We start from the raw sequence: 19,400 nt of genomic DNA on the forward strand, positions 1-19,400 counted from the left end.
GGTAATGGGGGACACCAGGAAACAGCCCCATGCCTCCGAGATGGGAGAGGGGCTGGGGCAGAGCCTGTGAGGGCCACAGCAGGGTCAGAGCTGCCTCCTCAGACCTGGCGTCCCAGTGGGAGGAGGTGGCTTGGGGAGGGGGGTCAGGAGAAGCTGATCCGAAGCACCGTCTGGGTGTGTGTTCCATTGTGGGTCTCCCCGGCATTAGGGGTTAGGGCTTGCGTGGGAAAAGTGGCTCAGTGTTCATGTGTGGGGTTCTGCCAGCCACTGGGCCACTGCCCAACAGCCCAGCTCCGCGTCCACGTGATGCCAACACATCCTGCTTGGCTCAGCAAGAATCCAGTTCCTCAGGCCCCAGTGTAGTCCTCGGAGCTGGCAGCACCAGCAGCAACTGGGAGCTTGTTGGAAACGCGGCATCCCGCGCACCGCCCCCCTGCCCCGTGACACACACACATACCTACCTGAGAGATCAGAGCCTTCGTTTTCACAACACCCCAGGTGAGACACACACATTAAAGCTGAGAAGCCGGCTGGGCATGGTGGCTCACGCCTGTAATCCCAGCACTTTGGGAGGCCGAGACAGGCAGATCATCTGAGGTCTGGAGTTTGTGACCAGTCTGGCTAACATGACAAAACCCCGTCTCTACTAAAAATAATAATAATTTAAAAAAAGTAGCCGGGTGTGGTGGCGGGCACCTGTAATCCCAGCTACTCGGGAGGCTGAGGGGGGAGAATCGCTTGAACCCAGGAGGCAGATGTTGCATTGAGCCAATAATGCGCCATTGCACTCCAGCCTGGGTGACAAGAGTGAAATTCCGTCTCAAAATTAAAAACAAAACAAAACAACAACAACAACAAAAACACAAACCTGAGAAGCCCCGGTCCGGGAGCGGACTCCTGGCTGTGTTGCTGAGATGCACGGCTGTCGCGCAGGGCACAGAGCTTTTCTGGAGCCTGAGGTTGACACTACACCTTCTCCTGCCACCTGAGACTCTGCTGCTAGAAGAGGGAGGGGAGAGAGAGGGGCGAAGTCGGCTAGGGCGGCCAGGAGGCAGACACCAAACCCGAGCTGGGAGCCGTGTGTTGCTAGGACCCCAGCGTCCCCTGCTGAGCTCCTTCCTTGGTTCTGACCAGGAGAAGGAAATGGGGCTCAGTCTCTTAAGAAGCCTTCCTTGGCCAGCTCCAAACCCGGGAGGGTCCCCAATCCCTCAGACGAGGATGCTGTGGCCCACACTTGCCTCGACATGTTGCCTTCCCAGGGACCACATCCGTATGAGACAAACTCACATGGGACAGGTGGCCCCAGAGCAAAACGCTAAGACAGTGTCTAAGAAGAAGCTCAAGGCCTTCCCAGAAGCGCTGGCCTCATGTGAGAATCCCACCCACGCCAGACCCCGTTTCAGATCCTTTGTGAGGGAGGCAGGCCTGTGCCCCCTGCCCTACCACAGGTCTTTGGACAAGCAACGAAGCTCCATCTTCTGCTGTCACACCTGGCAGCCATTTCAGAGGAGCCATGGCCTGCCTGGGTTGTCCCTCTGTGGGGGATCTGTCCAGGCTGCGACACCCACCAGCTCCCCACTCTGTATAACTGAGGGCCACATTCCCTACAAAACAGCCCCCAACCCCCCTCCCCCGCCACACACACATACAGTGTGATTAAAGTAAAATGCAATTCATGTAAATATCTCCATCAAGGAATCATACAGGGAAGACCCAAGTGGCCGTTGGGAACAGACTGGGTGTTAGTTTTTTAAATACAGAGGCATAAATAACTGTACACAAGGCAGTTAAATACACAGTGGTGTGACAGCACCTCCTGGTGGTCACTTGAAGTGGTGCACTCAGCAGCGGGTTCCATCTTTCACCCACTTGCCAGGCCTGGCGTTGAAGATTTCGTCTCCAAGGGACCAGGAAGGCCCCAGCTTGAGAGAGGAGGCTCTGATCAATCCAGGGTGCTACTTGGTAGGAGGTCAAGTAAAGGGCTTGATGGGGAATGAAGTGAAAAAATAAGATGTGAGGCTGGGGGATATCACTTTCCTCCATCTCCCCAGGCCCTGTGACCTCGGATAATGCAGAGCTGGCTCCGTGGTTAAGTTCTGTGCCGGCAGCTTTAACCCCTCCTACGGGCCGTCAGAGCGCTGACATCTCCAGGCTCCTGGGCTGCACTGCCGCCTTGTCTGCTTGTAGGGAAATACAGCACCAAAGATATCTTCGTGATAGCACTTCTGGCTCTTTTAGGTGGAAACAGAGACCAAAGTGTCAAGTCCAGGCTGGGATGAGCCCCCGGGGTTGCCCAGCTTCCCTATCACATGGACCTCCATGAGCCATCTGTCTTCCCAACTGTCATACTAAGATTGTGCTTGAATCTGGTTTAGACTCTAACGGCCCTCAGCACCTGCTCTGGTGCGGGCCCTCTAACCATCTCCAAAGCTTTACTTAGCATACCCATTTCCTGCCCAGCACTCATCCCCCACCCAAGATACTCCAGGAGGTGTGAGCTCTGAGATAAATATGTTTGGGAAATGCCACATCCTTTCTTTCCTTCCAGCCTTGAAGGGTCCTGATGAGCAGCAGCATGCTGAAGGCTTCCAGAAGTCTTGTAGTAAAGCAACGTGTTTGCCTTGCCTTAACTAAGCATGTCCCAGGCTATTCGACCTTGGAACCTTTTTGATGCCAACTGTCTACCGACCCATTCAACGCATTTGGGGAAATGCCTGTTATCTCCTCACTGTTCTTCAAACACACCAGCTTAACTCCCACCCCCGGGGCCTTTGTACCTGCTGCCCCTCCAGAACAGCCCAGAGTGTTTCCTTCAGTATCCACAGGGCTCCTCCTCACCATCTCAGGTTTATTCTCAGATGCCGCCTTCCAGCTCCGCCTTCCCTGGCCACCCTATTTAAAATTACACTCCCCAGCGTTCTCTGGGCTGTTTCCTGCTGTTTTTCTCTGAAGCACTACAGCTCTTCCTTGTTTGGGTTTGTCAGCCCCAGTAGAATGTAAAGAATTTTTGCCTGATTCATTTACTGCTCTATCCCTAGCACATAGTAGGTGCTCAAAAAATGTTTGGTTGAACGTACGAATGTGTCTTAGGGAGAGTATGGAAGTGACAATCACAGGCTTTGGTACCACAGAGAGGCAGACTGAGCTCTAGGCTTTCATATTCACTGCTGTGGTCCCCGTAGGCCCCCTTCCCTCTGCAAAATGGGGTGCCTCCCTCACAAAATCCTCGGCAGCACTGAACAAAATGTCACAGCAGAATCTTTGGCAAGTAGTATGCCCAGTGTAAGCCCTTGATAAATATCACTATTATCTTCATCAATAAAATGCAAGCCCTTCCTGCTGGGGGGATGAGGGTGAGCAGACGCCAGCCTGGGTGTAAATAAGAAGTGTGAGGTTCACACGAGGCTGACAAGGGGCAGCCTTGCTCTCCCCTGTGTTCACAGCCTTGCTTTGGCCACACAGATACTTTCTGAAAGGGGGGTTTGGGGAGAGGCCAGGGAGACTCTCCTGCCCCCATTCTACAGATGGAAAAATGGAACACATTCCCCCGACTTCTCAAAGCTGCCAACTGGTCCAGGATGTGCAGTAGGGCCTTCTGACAGCCCACCCAGCTCAGATCTCAGCCACTGCTAAGATTCTCTTGGGGCCCAGAACTTTTCTGGGCCTGACTCCCCTGGGTCTACCTGCCACCCCTGGTCCTGGCTCCAACGGCCTGTGCCCTTGGCCGGCACCTTCAGCCCACACACCCACTACTATACCTTGAGCTGAAAGAAATAGTCCTCGACCTGCTCCTCATTCAATTTCAGCTTGGCAGCCACCAGCTGCTTCAGGGTGTGGGCCACATCCCAGGCCATGCGCATATCCCAGCAAACATAGAGGTGGCCTGGCTCCTCGTGGAGTACACGGAGCACCTTGCTGGCCAGCTGCTGCTGCAGGATGTCCTGAACATCGACCTGAAACCAGAGGAAGTGGTGGGTTCAGTCCCCAGCTGCTGGGGACAAGGCTTGCAGGCAGGCCTGCTGTCCTCAGGGAAGTGGGGAGAGGGCACTAAGGGGTGAGGAGTGAGTCCCCTCCCAGCCAGGACCTTGCATGGGGCCAGGCTTAGGATGAGGCGCACAGATGCCCCTGGGGCTGGGCTGGGATTAGAGAGATAAATGCTGGACACAGTCCTGCCCTCGAGGGGCTGACCATCCAGTGGGGATCCCAGACTGTCTCTGAATTTGCCATGCCTCAAAGAAGCATCAGTGAAGCCAGTCCCCCTGCCCAGGGCTCTGTCTATACTCTGGAAAAGGTAGCCTCTCAATGCAGACTGTCCATCAGGTCCCTGCAGGGTACGGATCCCGGGCTTCGCAGTTAGAAGGTCCAGGAGTCAGTCGGGGACTCTCTGCTCCTGCTCCACACAGGATGCCCAGTGGCCCCAGCACTGGGCACAGAGCACTGGACCCGAGAGGTGCCCTGATGGGACAAATGTGTGAGGACCGAGAGTCTGTTCTGACACCTCCGGCTCAGGAGACAACGCGGCCCTGGGGGCAGCAGAGCCTGTCTGAGGGCCGTGGTGGAAGCGTTGGCCGCCCTCCAGTCTTGCTGGGCTTGACACAGCCAGCCTGGATCACCTCTCCCTGGGCAGTCGCATGTCCCAGGGGTCCTGCTGGGGACCTTCAGCAGGCTAAGCTCTGGGCTTAACCCGCGTGTGACCTAGGTTAGTCCTGAACCTCTCCGGGCCTGTCGCTTATGCTGTATGAGAGGGTGTAACGCTCTTCATAGCATCACTCTGATGGTTGTGAACTACCTGCATTTTAGAGCTCAAGAGCTGAAGTCTCAGGGAGGCGAGGGGCCCGTGGGGACCCAGGGCTCATACTGAAGCCTGTGTGTGTAATGGCTTCACCAGCTTTTAGGCTGCATTTACCTTAGCTTGCCAGGCAGGAGGGAATAGGCGTGTGCACCGCATGCAGCACCCGCTTCCGGGTCATCTCTAGCATCTCCTCCCGGTAGGTGGCGGTCCTCATCTGGGCGGCGGCACCAGAAGACCAGGGTCCTGCGGCCTTCCAGCACTACTGCCGGGAGTCCCGGGCTGTTGTTATCATGTTGGCCACCAGAGGGCGCAACGGCTCCAAGCCCAACTGGAATTCTCACTTAACTCCCACAAGTATCCTAGCTAGTTAATAGCATTATCCCCACTTTACAGATGAGGAAACTGAGGCCCAGGGCATTCAGATCACTCATCCATAGTCACACAACTGAAAATGCAGATGCGGGATTCCCTCAGCCCATCGGAGCTCAAAAGCAAGGACTTTCCCATTATCCCCACTACCAGGAGAGGGAGCCCCGGCTCCGGTGCCGGAGACGTGAAGGCGGCCATTCTAACCCACAAAGGCCCGCACAGGGAGGCAAACTTGGGAGATCTTCCCTCCAGAGAGGTCCAGGAACCGTTCGTGGGGCTGCGGTTCTGATTCTAGGCAGGCGCTGCCCCTGGTGCCCCTGCCACCTGGGAAGCCTCCAGCCTTACCCTTCCGCTGGGAGTCATGGAGCCGCTGCTGCCAGAAACTGTGGAAGGGAGCGATACCTGTGCCAGGCCTGACAAGGATGCGAGGATGGGAGGGATCCTCGGGGAGGTGGAAGCCGCTGACACGGAAGAGGACAGGAGAAGAGGGGGCCAGTCCTCAGACACCCCAGGCCCACGCACACACAGGATGGCTGGGGAGCTGGGCCTGTGGGGGGTGGTCGTGAGGAGATGGAGAGGACAAGAAGCTCCTATTTGATTTCCCATGTCCTGCAGGCTGCTTCACTTCTGTCCAGGCACCAGCACCTCCCCCAGGTCCTTCTGAAAAAGGGCCATGCTCACTGGACTCTGGGCCCCTCCAGCACTGTTGTCATCGTTGTCCCTGCTAGAGACAGGCACACCAGTGTGACCCCAGTGTCTTCTTTATGGGCCACGGGGCCCCCGAGTGGCACCTAAACCCCAGATCCCTCCCTTTCCTCCCGGAACCCCCAGGGGTCGGCGGTCCCACAGGGGACAGAGTGGAAGGGGTGCTTACTTCCGCACAAAGCAGGGCACTGGGTTTTGAGGCTTCAGTTGTTGAGCCATGTGCTGCAGACGCCGTGGTGCAGGGGACCCTGGCCATCTGCTACGATACCACAAAGTGACCAATGTCCCCTACTGCCCATGTGCAAACTGTACCAGCTGCTCCGCCCACACCACGGCCTCCTTGGACGCCCCCACTCAGGCACTCTCAGGACTCAATGAGCAGCTGTTTGTTCTGGTTCTGAGATCCACCCTCTGTAAGCGCGGAGCTGAGGAACGTTGAAAGGGACTTAGAGAGGTTGCAGGTTGTCCCGTCTGCCCAAGCAGAAACTGAGTTCCGGAGTGGAAAAGTGACTTGGAGAAGGTCACTCAGGTCGCGGTGGAATCAGGTGGACAGCTCAGCTTCCCTGACTCCTACTCCAGTGCTCCTTCCAAAGACTTTCTCCGGGAACACTCCCAGCTCACCACTGAGCTCCACTGACAGCAGCATGAAGTGGCCCCTCAGGGTGGCTACTGCTGTGCGTGCTCATGAGCGTGGCCCTTGCTGGTAGCAACCCTGGGTGGTGGATGAGTTCCGCGCATTTCAGCCTGCTCTGGCACCTTGCTTTCCTCCTCAGTGGGCCCTCCCGGGCTTGTAGAAACCCAGGAGGTTTCTCTGGGTTCTGTTCCCCTTACAATGGCCCAGCACTTGAAGGAGGCCTCCAACCAACTGCAGAGGTCCCCCTGGTTTTCCTCGGGATTAAATTTTGCTCTCACAAGACATGTAGGCCTCTCCTCTCCTGGTCTGGGTGGCTGTTCTCTAGCAGGGCAAACAGAGTCTCTGGCCAGTTTTTAGAAACTGTGTTTGTGCTTCCTAGAGGACAGAGGACTCAGAAGTGTGGGCAGCTCCCAGCTTTGCCCACCCAGGCAACGCTCAGTTACAGAGGGCAGGGCAGGGGGCAGCGGCCAGTGGTGGAGCCGAGACCACCTGGACGAGATGTTGGCCTCCCGCTCTATGGCAGCATCACCCCGCCCCCTGCCACCCCGGCCCACTTTGCTTCCCTCAGTGACCCTGACCTTTCCTTCTTGGCTTCAGCACAATGAGAATAATCTAATTATTTCTATGCCTATCTCTCCACTGCCGCCTCTAGATGCTCCCTGAGGGCAGGGCTGATGTCTGCTGTATTTCCACACCCACCCCAGTGCCAGGCATGAGGAGGTGTGAGATAAACCATCACTGAATGAGCTGAGTAAGTGAATGAACAATCAATGCAGAATCTCCCTTGTGTTCAGGCTGCACGACCAGGAAGACTAAGAACCACTGGCCTCCCACCAAGCATTGGGTGCTCTCCACGTCTGATCTCATTAAATTGTCCCAAGAGTAGTGGAACAGTGGGGTGGTGGAGGACTTGGACTTAGCAGTTAGACTAATCAGGTCTGAATCTCTGCTCTCCACTTACTAACAGTGTGACTTTCTGTGCCACCTGTAAAATGCACACAGGGCCTACCCCACAATGTAACTGATCATATACATACAGAAGGCTTGGTTTAGTGCCTGGTTCCTACAGATCTCTCCCACACGCCTCCTATTACGGTTAACAACTCTGGGTGGTGGGTGTTCCCTCCCTCCTTGAACTGATGAGGGAGCTGAGGCTGAGTTGATGAACAGATGCCCAATAAGGGGCAGACTGCGGCTGTTCCAGATCCTCCTCCCTGGGCTCACCTCGGGTGTGGTACATGAGCACGGTCACAGTCAGGTGGATCTCCATGGGCATGTGATCCCAGGAGGAGCTGATGGAGTAGAACCTGGGATTCAGAATGGGGAGCTGGGAGAGCAGGAAGCTAGCAGACACCCACAGGGACAGAAACTCCTCCAGCACCTCCAGGAACGTGAGGCTGTTGGTGAACTTCCACTTGCTGTACTCTGAGAGTAAGTGGAGGGTGATGTGAGCGACTCAGGGCACCTGCCCCACTTTGGGGGAAAAGGCTTTCACAACCTAGTAGTCATTCATTCATTCACTCACTCACTCAACAAACAAGTCCATGTGCCAGGCACTGTCCAGGGTGCTGAGACTACCGAGCTTGAGAAGAAATAGTTCCTGTCCTGGAGGAACTCAGTCCAGTACATTTATCTAACTTATGTGACCTCCTCCACTGTCGGCAACTCGTGGGCAGGGGTCAAATTTTTGTTGCAATTTAATTTGGGGCAAGGCTTTGGAACCAATCAGACCTGGGTTTAAATCTTGGCTGGGTGTCCTCACTAGCTGTGGAATCTCATCCCAATTACTTAACCTTTGTGAAACAAGGATAGTATTGCCTGCCTTGTGGGGATGTTATGGGAATTAAATGAGAAAGCATGTGCCAAGTTAGTACATTGCAGCCACAAAATAATGGTGGTGGAGGTAGTTGGAATCGAGATAATTAGCTATAATGATGACAATAATAATGACAACCAGTGCCTTTTGCAGACTTGGAACCAGACAGTTGCAGGTGAGCTAATGCATTCTCTCATTAACTTATTAATTCAGCTCTCCATCTGTCACTCTGCCCATTATGCCCATTTATCCATTCATCCACACCATCCATCCCCCAATACATCTTAAGTGACAAGTTTATTCCAGTTTTGGGGAAAGCAAAGACGGATAAGGGCGGCTCCCCTTTCTAGCTAATGTTCAAGGCAGTGCACTCTGGTTGCATCCTGCAGACACTTGGAAAAATTCAGTTCACTCAACACAACTGTGTCCTAGACATGGGCCAGCGGACGATGCCTGGCTTCCCACCAGCCTTTGACAAGTCTCACTTTGGGAACCTGGTGTGGATCCCTCTTGAAAGTTAAAACCAGCTCTGGACTCTGGCTCCCCACATGCTGGGACCCCCCACATACCCCCACTGCCCACCAGCCCTGATCTTCACCTGGCACAGGGCCTCCAGCCTCGTCTCTCAGGCTTTTCTGTGGCCACCTGGGCCAGCTTTTGGAGCAGCAGCTGGGTGGGGGTGTGGTGATGTCCAGGAAGTAGGTGAGGGCCTGGCTGAGTGAGCAGGGGGGCAGCCTCTTGTCACTGACCCAGTAGCTGCCTGGATGGGGAAGGAAGGTGTCAGGATGGAAAAGAGGCCCCATTCAGGATTCTCAGTAGGTAGCGAGGCCCCCAGGCAGACACCCTCTATTCTCCAGCTGCAGGGGAAAGGAGGCTCTAAAGACCTGGCTCTAAGAGCAAAAGGCAGGAAGAAGGTGGCGCATGGAGAAAGGACTGCCAGGGAAGGCTGATCACCAGCCCCCAAAGGGGCAGTAAGTTGGCGTGGTCCTGATAAACTAACCACGTCCTTTTCTGGCCCAGACCTGAACTTTAGCAAGACACTCACCGGTGATCTACAGACTCACAATGACTAAATCCACCAAAGACTAATGGATACCTCACAGGCCAGTTGTTCACTTGGAGAAAAGCCCATGACTGCAGTCCCTTGGGTGCTGTACCAAGAGGTGCTGGGTGAGCAGAAGATGAGCTCAAAGGGAACTCCCAGGGGGCAGCATGCAGGGCAGTCACAGCACAGACCCTGGGGCTGGAAGACATGGGTTCAAACCCTGGCTCTCCACTTCCGAGGTGACTAAAGCCTCTGGGCCTTGGGTTCCCTCCCTGTGAAACAGATCTGATAGCACAACCTATCTTGCTGGGTTGGCATGAGCGCTGAATGAAATTGCGCACATATAGTTGGTGCTGTGGCCAGGTGTGGTGGCTCACACCTGTAATCCTAGCACTTTGGGAGGCTGAGGCGGGTGGATCACGAGGTCAGGCATTCAAGACCAGCCTGGCTAACATAGGAAACCCTGTCTCTACTAATAATACAAAAATTAGCTGGGCGTGGTAGTGGGCACCTGTAATCCCAGCTACTTGGGAGGCTGAGGCAGGAGAATCACTTGAATCTGGGAGGCAGAGGTTGCAGTGAGCCGAGATCATGTCACTGCACTGCAGCCTGGGCGACAGTGTAAGACTGTGTCAAAAAAAAAAAGTTGGTGCTGTGCCTGGTAAACATGTTCCCTAAATATTAGGTAAAAATATGAGTATGACGTTATTTCCTCTGACCAGGGTCCTGATGAACCACATCCATCACCCTGCAGTCACAAGGACATGTGTCTCCTCGTCCTCACTTTCTCCTAGATGGTGGCGGACACTGCCAGGCTCTGCCTCTCTGATCCCACTTTTTTTTTTTTTTTTTTGAGATGGAGTCTTTGTCACCCAGGCTGGAGTGCAGTGGAGCAATCTCAGCTCATTGCAACCTCCTCTCCCCGGCTTCAAGCGATTCTCGTGCCTCAGCCTCCCGAGGGGCTGGGATTACAGGTGTGCACCACCATGCCCAACTAATTTATTTTGTATTTTTAGTAAAGATGGGGTTTCACCATGTTGGCCAGGCTGGTCTTGAATTCTTGACCTCAAATGATCCACCCGTTTTGGCTTCCCAAAATACTGGGAATACAGGCGTGAACCACCACGCTCAGCTGATCCCACTTTCTGACTTTGGCCACTGCATTGAGGGGGATACACTGGTGGTGTCATTATCACTGGGGAAACTAAGGCCAGGGAGCCATGCCTGTGGCTGGGACTGTTTCCACAGCTGCTTTCACATAAGATTTTGGCAGCCCACCCTCTCAGCAGGAAGGACAGGGATGACTGTCACTGGCAGGCCCAGGCTCAGCCCCTCAGCCAGATGGGGTGGCCAGAGGATGCCAGGCAGCACTGGCTCCCTGGCCCAGGGCTCACTGCTCTCATCCAGAGCCTCCAGGTGCCCTGTCTGGTGGGGTGTGGGGCCATCCACCACTCGCTCCAGCATGCCTTGGACCAGGGCCAGCTGGTTGCCTGGGCAAACCCCAAGGTGCTCCCTTGGCAGGTAGTTCAGGCCTTGGCCCTCCTCACAAGAGAATTCCACCAGGATGGTGGTGTGGCTGGGTAAGGAAATAGAAGCCTCAGGTGGGCCGGGCGCCATGGCTCATGCCTGTAATCCTAGCACTTTGGGAGGCCAAGGTGGGTGGATCACCTGAGGTCAGGAGTTCAAAACCAGACTGGCCAACATGGTGAAAGCCCTTCTCTACTAAAAATACAAAAATTAGCTGGGCGTGGTGGCAGGCACCTCTAATCCCAGCTACTCGGGAGGCTGAGGCAGGAGAATGGCTTAAGCCCGGGAGGCAGAGGTTGCAGTAAGCCGAGATCACGCCACTGCACTCCAGCCTAGGCAACTGAGTGAGACTCCATCTCAAAAAATAAAAATAAAAAAAGAAGCCTCAGGTGATGTTGCAGGATTTCCTCCAAGGATCCCTGATGGGCAAGAGAGATTCCCCAGGAAATGCACTCTCCTTTCACTTACCTGGCTGGTTCCACAAGCCTGGGCTGCCACCCTGAGCTTGGGAAGCATCCCCACAGCCAGGGGTGCTTGAGAGGGCCCTGGGAGCTTCCCTCTGGGGAGGAGAGGGGCTCACCCCTTCCCAGCAGCCCTCTGAGCCCCCCGAGCACTTGGCCACAGCCTCTGCCTGGAGAAAGCATCCCTCTTGGAGATAATGGACATCAGAAGAAACCTTTCCTTGTCACCAGGACAAATGCTGTTCTTATTAGAACCAAGGCCAATTTTCTTAATGCATGTGGGGAGGACAGCACAGATCAATGAAACCTGCAGATAATCCACAAGGCTTATTTCCCAGAGCTGGGAAATTTCCTTCCCTGCCAACACTTTTCCTGAAAGTTCTTAAGAATGAGTCAAACAGTTTAAGTCTCTCTTGCACTCTCCTTTTAGTGAAAGAGTTCAATGAGGAAGGAGAGGAAGTGGAACAGACGCTTAGAGTCCAAGCTGGAAAAGTGGCCCGTGGTTAACCAAGAGTAGATGTAAAAGCACAGGTGGCCACAGGTTACCAGGTGAGCCAGTCCTACCGATGGCATGGCTGCTAATGCCAGCAGATGCTCCTCTCCTCTCCCTTCAAAGACTGACTTCTTCTGGTCTTTCATTCATTAAAATAAAATCAGTAGAGCATCACCCGAGAAGCCCTGCACTTTCCCTTACCTGGATGTTGGACTCTGTAGCTTCTGCTGAGATTTGAGCCTCGTGGTGAACATGTTATTGGCGTGCATGCTGCTGAGGGCTGTGGAGGACACAGAGACGGTGAAACGGCAAAGTGGCTCTTGAGCGTGGGTGGCAGAAGCCCCCACATGTCTGAGTCAGTGACACCAGAGCACTACCCTTGGGGCATCCTCCTGAGGTGGCTGTTGGGGTTTTCTTTCCTTTCCTTTTATTCCACTGTTTCTGAATCACAAATAAAGGTCCTTGGTCTGATACAGGGCAGCTGGGTTGCTTCTAGGTGTTGGGAAATTCAATTTAGGAACCTAAAATGGAAAGTCCCAGGACATCTCCACAGCTTGGGATCCACAGGAGAGCATCGTTGACATTGGGGATATCTTAAACATGTAGAAACCTTCAGGACTATCTAATCAGGGCACAGGGCACAGCACCTGGGGGTGCAGAGTGGAGAGTTCACCACTACAGCCTGGAATCGCCTCTGTGATGCCTTCTTCATGACCCTTTGCTGCCTTTGTGGCTAGAAGGCTGGCGCTCAGATCCCAAAGTGGCCACAGGCTAGCAGCTTGCTTCACCTCCCTGAACTGCAATTTCTCCATCTGTGCCTTTCTCCCAGGAGGAGTGTCCAGATTCACTTAGCCCATGTGGGCCAGGAGCCCTGGACAGTGCCTGGCACACAGTAGGCCCTCGGCGGATGCTGTCCCCTTCTCTCTCCACCATCCTTCTGCGGCTCCCTCCTGAAACAGCCTCCCTCAGCGCCTTGAGTCTTGTGCCCTAACAGGCTCTTGCATGCAGTGAGAGGGAGGCCCCGAGGCCAGCTGTCTCTGTTCAGAAGGACCTGGGGTTCTCCTTGACCATGAGCTCAGGGCTCAGACCCCAACACAAACAAGCCCCATGTGCTACAGAGAAGCAGGTCCCTTAGCTGAGGTCCAAAGGCTGTGAGTCCTGCACGAGCCTGAAGTGGTGCAAGCCCCAGGTCACATTGGAGGTGTAGAGCTTGGGGATCTGAATGTGCTGTTGGCTTCGGACATCAAACGTTTCACAGGCTGCCTGGAAGAAGGTGGAGCAGATGGGGGTTAATGGTCAGCAGCAGCAGCAGCATCCCCACCACTGGGGCTACCACTTTTTAGGCCCTTACCATGGGCCAGATACTAAGCCATCTGCTTCGTGTAACTTCGAAGCACACTTACCTGATAGGGTGACAGCAAGGACTCAAAGAGGTGTCTGGGCTTGGCACATAGTAGCTATTGCTACTATTTTGAATGTTGTTTTGCCTTTGTTTTTGTTTTGAGATAGGGTATCGCTCTGTCACCCAGGCTGGAGTACAGTGGTGTCATCATAGCTCACTGAAGCCTCAGCCTCCCTGGGTTTAAGCAATCCTCCCACCTCAGCCTCCCAAGTAGCTGAGACTACAGATGTGCACCACTAAGCCTAGCCAATTTTTTGTATTTTCAGAAGAGACTGGTTTTGCCATGTTGCCCAGGCTGGTTTCAAATTCTGGGGCTCACGCCATCTGCCCACCTCAGCCTCCCAAATTGCTGGGATTACAGGCATGCGCCACAGTGTCTGGCCATTATGAATGCCAATATTGACATGATCTTCTTGTATCCTCATGACCACACTGGAAGAGGTCTGATTGTTCCCTTTTCCTGTTGTGGAACCACATGGAGGAGGCCTGGGCTTTGGAACCAAGCCTGCCCCGATGCAAGCTGATGCTCCTAAGCACCACTGCTGAGTGACGCTCTGCATGAGTGATGAGTTCCCTAAATGACTGGGGCCAACCATAGCAGTAAAGAGCTATGGAGATACTGAGTGGATCCAAAGTGGATCTGCCACTGTGTGGTGCCTGTCCCTAGGCTCTCTATGGCTGTGAGACTGAAACAGACACAGTAGTTAAAAGGTGACCTAGGTAGTCAGTGGGGGAGACCTTAAACTAGAAGCTCCCTAAGGGCAGGGGGGTATCTGTGCCACCTTCTCCCCCAGAGTTGTGTGCACAAGGTGGAGCTCTTCTAAGGGCCTGAGGGAGAGCAGCAGTGACCTAAGCCCTCAGGCCTGTGGCCCTGGCTCATGCCTGGGACCACATCTACAGGACCAGGGGCAGAGGTCATGGCACCTGGGACACCCAGCACAGATGTCCTAGGTTGAATGCACCCTGTCATGTCCCTGCTGTGGAGCAGCTCTGGCTGGGAACCGACCTTGAAGGTTTGCATGGCCCAGCTGCGGAAGGCATCCTCTGCCCACTGACCTCATCCTCTTCCCCCATCGGGGTGAGCTGAGAGGCCCCCAGGTGGGACAGCTACTGGGTGAGGTCATGAGCAAAGGCACAGAACTGAGGGTACTTGCTGGAGCTGAGGCCAAACATGGCATACCTGCCCAAGGAAACACACAGAGACTCATGTCCCATGCAAGCAACACCTGGCACCCAGCACCCAGCACCAACAGCCTGGAGGGCCAGCCACAGACTCTCCCCATCCAGCTGGAGCATGGAGCTGCAGCCCCTTCTAGTCCTCCCAACCCCTGAGCCTTGTCACCAACTCCCATGACCACCCCATGCTTGGCCTGCAGACCCGTGAGAGGGACTTGGTTTCTGTGGCTTGACCCGTGACACACTCCGAGGGCAAACCTCTGGCCCAGGGTCCCTCTGTGCCTGGTCAGCTCTGAGAAGACCCCGTATGCGCACCCAGTTCCATCCCCTGAGCCAGACTTTGGGTCCTCAGGGCAAGGTTAGAAGTTGCAGGAGGAGGGAAAAAGCTTTACCTGAATTTGTTGGTGAGCTCTTTCAGCATGAAGAGGGATTTCTTCAGTTTCTAGAAAGAGAGGAAATGACAGAGTTCTCAGGCCAAGATGAAAAAAAACACCGCTTTTTCCATTCCTCTGGAAAACTGGCCACAGATGGCAGGAGATGGCTCCTGGCCCACAATGGAAGTTGGTTTACATATGGGGCCACCTGGCCAAGGACCTGGTTGTCAGGTGAGAATTTTAGCTTGTCTCTCACTCCAGCTAAACTGTAGCAACTTGTGTGGGCCCTGTCCCCTGGTGGGAGACCCAGAATAGCCTGGCCCCCTCCCATCCAGCCCTGGGCATCTCCAGAGGGCCTCCTAATAGGCCGTGATTCTGTCTTCTTGTTTGGAACCTGGTAAAAGCAACAACAGTTGGTCCTACAGTCTCTGAAATAAGGCTGGCTTTCCAGGAAGCCAAGATGATTCCAGGAGGTATGTGACCCAGCAGAACTAGCGTCAAATCCCATGGTGAGTATTTACTCCCTTTTCCATAATTTATTTTTTAGTTATTCCCCTTCAATTACATTTTCATTCTTTTGAGCCCTGGAGAGACAGTCTTGAGTTGGTGCTAATAGACCTTTAATGCCTCTCTCATTGCCTAGTACTCTTTTAAAAAACAAAGAAGGAGCAGGCCTTGGCCAGGGAATAGTATCTAGCTAAAATTCATTAACTTCATTTTGTTTTCATTGAATTTAAGTTTTGCTGCTTTCCATTTGTGAGAGTGACACAAGTTTCCTTTAAACATGAATTTGTAAATACAAACAGGTAGGCCATTCACAGAAATATATTAAATATGTCATAGGAAAGGGGGCACTCCCATATGGCAATAATTACAATGGAGGCCGGCAAATGACCTGAGTGACCCAGATGGCCTGAGCACTGACTCCCAAATGCCCTCTGTAGGACCTGCTTCATTCCCCGGACCCTTTCCTGGGTCCTCCCACACCCTACAACCTCCTAGACCAGCCAGACCTCAGGCCACCCACCTCTCCATTGCTGGGGAAGTCTCCATTCCCAAATGTGGTGGTCTCCACCAGCAACAGCTGTGCCTCCCTGTACTTGTCCATGCAGAGAACCTGGATGGTACCCAGGTGGACATCAGCCCTCAGCTCCCAGTAGATGCTCTGGGCTCCCTCCCACACCTCCCCCAGGCCAGGGCTTCTGTGCTCATCTGTCTCTTCCAGTGCCCGGCACAGGTGTGGCACGGAGGAGGTGAGTGAACAGATTTGAACACATTGTCCTCGGTTCTCCTTCCTTGCTCAAGCCCTGAAGCTAACCCGTCAGGAAGCCCTGGATGCTCTGCCTGTAAAATACTGCCTATCCTATGTCCAAGCTCCTCTCAGCACATCCATTGCTATTTACAGTTTTGTGTGTGTGGAAATATTTCCACGAAATTGGAATGAGCAGGTCACAGCTGTGCCTGGAGGGAATGGCTGGGGAAATGTGCCCTCGCCTTGCTGTTCTATCCAGGCCCACCCAGCTGAGGATGGGGGACCTGCCACCACTCTCCTGGCAGTTCCGGAGTCCTGGGAGCTGGCAGGTGAGGACCCAAGAGTGTTTTCAGCAACCTGGCTGACCTGGTCATCCGTCAGTCCCACCTTAGCCTAGGCCTCTACACAGCACAGATCACAGCTCATCCCATTGTGGCATTACACTGGCCTGTGCCCTGTCCTCAGGGTCACATCCGTCTCCCAGAAGCCATGTGACCCTGACCCTGGAAAACCCATCAACCTGTCTAACAGTCAGGTTCCTCCTCTGTGCATTAACAATGGCATTGACGCCTGCTTTGCAGGGCGCTGGGAGGGGAGAGGGAGGTGTATGCTGGAAAGCTCCCCAAGGGCAAGGCCTGCCTCTGCGTCACTCACTGTCAGATCCTCATAGCCCGGGGCTGGTCCAGCACGTGGCCACCATTCCCTAAGTATTGGATTTGCTTCATCAGTGCTGAAGGCAGGGGATAGAGCTTAGACAGACCCCCTGTGTTCTGTCTTCTTTATCTGCAGCTTACTCATTCTTGCCCCTTTCACATGCACCCTGTAGAGCAGACGTTCACTGAGTTTGAACAAAATTCAGCTAGAGCAGCTGATGTATATTGAGGCCTGAGTTCACCTGCCTGGGTCTCTGGAGTCCTCGGAGTCTCCGTGTGGTCCCCGTGATCTGACACTGAGGACACACCTGTAGTCTGCTGATCCCAGAAAGAGGGGTGTGTGCTGCCTGGGGTGGGGAAGATGTCGGGGCATGGCAGGTGGCTCCTGGGACTGCCCCCCAGGGTTCAGAGAGGCTGAAGGCTTCCTGCCACACAACCTTATCCAGGGCTGTTGGGCCTGGGATATGGCCCCCTGTCAGAACTCAGGTAGGAGCGGCCTTGGCTGTTACCCAGCCCCCTTGCCACCTCACATGGGGACCTGTCTCCGCAGTGGGCGACTGGGCCCAGATATGAGTCACCCTCTGCCCTCCTGGGCTGCTCAGTCCATGCCAGGACTGACCATTCCCACACCTGGCTGAACTCTTGGCTCTGGCTCTGGGCCCGGGGTCCTGCCTGTGCCCTCTCCTTGAATGCTCTGGGGGTCAGGAACACCCAATTCCCTTGTCTCCCTGGCTCAAGGCTTGTTGTCCTGGCACCCTTAGAGGGGTCTGCAGGAGTGAGGGGCCTCTGCTGCTCTCTGAGGCTGTGGGTGCTCTCAGGGAGGGGTGGGGGCTCCCACAAATGGGTCTGGCTCCTCCAGTGCGCTTGAGGGCCCTGTGAGGGGGAGAGCGGGCCACCAAGGAAAGTGGGAGGGGGCTTGTGGGAGGCTCTTGCCCACATCCCCCTCCTGCACAGCATGTCCCGTACACACGCATTGAGCGCCTGCCCTGAGGACCGATGGGCCTCCTGTACTTTCTTAGAGTCCAGGAAGAAGAGGAGAAAGAAAAGGTGAAGAGGAAGACCCAGGTAGTAGGATTGGGGGTCCTGAGCACTCCCCCACTATTGACTGCCCCAGAAGGTGATTCAGGAGGGGACCTGGTACTGGAGCCCACCTGGGGGTGGCAGGTCCCCATGCTTCCTTGTTAGTTTCTTCATAGAGGCCCGAAGGTGTTTCAGAACAGGATCATTGTCCATGGCTCAGGTATGAAATAACTGGTCTCGAAAAGGTGCCCACAGGCCAGACCTGGACGTCTTCATGAGGCGCTGTAGGGACAGGGTGGGCATCAGGCCCGGAGAGTTCCCTGGGAGAGGTCAGAGCCCACACCCCATGGCCACTTCAGTCTCCCACTGGGTGGTGCTGGATACTTTCATGGCCACTCCAGGGGTCCAGATATGCACAGAAGGCTGTGGCTGGGGGGTAGCCTGGGCAAAAAAAGTGCTCACTACACTCCTGACTTTCATCTGGGTCATGTGGGGGATGGACTTGGTGTCATTGTGCCCTGCCCAGCCCACCTGGACAGACCTCCTTCTGGGCCAGAACAGAGGATCATGAGAACAGTGTGAGGAAGCTGCCCTTGGGCCAGTCAGGGTCTGACCCCAGTGCTCCCCAGGCCCCACTGGCCACACGTGGACTTACTCCTCTGAACCTTAAAGGCAATGCTTGTTATCGGCATCAATGCCTGTTCCCCTTCCAGCAAATACATGTCCCACAGGTGCAGGGTGAGCCCAAGAGAGATCTGTGGGGACAGCAGGCATGGGAGGACCTGGCCCTTCCAGGCTGGGGTTGGTGGCTCGAGCTGCACCCATTGGGGCTTCAGTCTCCAGAGTCAGTGACCTTCCCCATGAGGGTCACCTGACCCCTCCAGGACACTGGGTCAGACCAGGTCTTGCCGCTCCTCATGGGGGGGCACTCATTTCAGTGGGGACGTGGCTTCTGGAGATAGGGGCTTGCCCGCGGCTTGAGGCATCCCTGAGCCCTCCCAAGTTGGGTCCTGGCCCAGTCTGCCCATGAGGCTGGGCCTGAACCCCAGCCTCTGCCCTGGGATGACCCCTCTTGGGCAGAGGGTCTTGCTTGTGTGGCCTGCAGGGACCCTCCTGGGCCTCCTGTAGGCTAGGGGTGAGCCTAACCCCTGGGCTGGGGATGCAGGGCACTGCAGGGCAAGGAGGGTTCTAAACCGATGTGCAGAATCTCCTGGCCACTGCTCCAGCCCCTCCTGGAGTGACTCCTTCATCCTCCAAGTCTCCAGGGTGGCCCCTATGCAGCCAGCCTCTCCCTGATCCGTCAGCATCTGGCCACCCAGACCAGTTCTCGGTCCCTATGGTTTGGCCTTTTCCAGAATGGTCTAGGAATGGGAATCCTACTGTGGTAGCTTATTGGGCCTGGCTTCTTTCCCTTAGCAAAACGCATCTAGGATCCACCCATGTTCATGTGGGCATCACTAGATCGTTCCCTTTTCTCTCTGAATCTTCTGCCATTTGAAGGGAGGACCACCCTTCCTCTCTGCGTTCCCGTGTTGAAGGTCATTCCCGTAGCCTCCATGTGTGAGTGTCAATGAATCAAGCAGTGAATGTGGCATGCAGGTTTCATGTGGACATCAGTTTTCAAATCAGTGGGTTCAATATCGGTGACACTTTGGGGACATGTGGTTCAAGTCCATTGAAC

The 19,400-nt window shown here is 54.8% G+C and overlaps 2 pseudogenes; both read right to left on the minus strand.

Moving 5' to 3' along the window:
* Positions 1,652-14,864, minus strand: NOS2P1 (nitric oxide synthase 2 pseudogene 1; annotated as a pseudogene).
* Positions 17,366-18,475, minus strand: LOC100420408 (TBC1 domain family member 29, pseudogene pseudogene; annotated as a pseudogene).

Source organism: Homo sapiens, chromosome 17 (assembly GCF_000001405.40).
Source record: "Homo sapiens chromosome 17, GRCh38.p14 Primary Assembly".
Classification (NCBI taxonomy): Eukaryota; Metazoa; Chordata; class Mammalia; order Primates; family Hominidae; genus Homo; species Homo sapiens.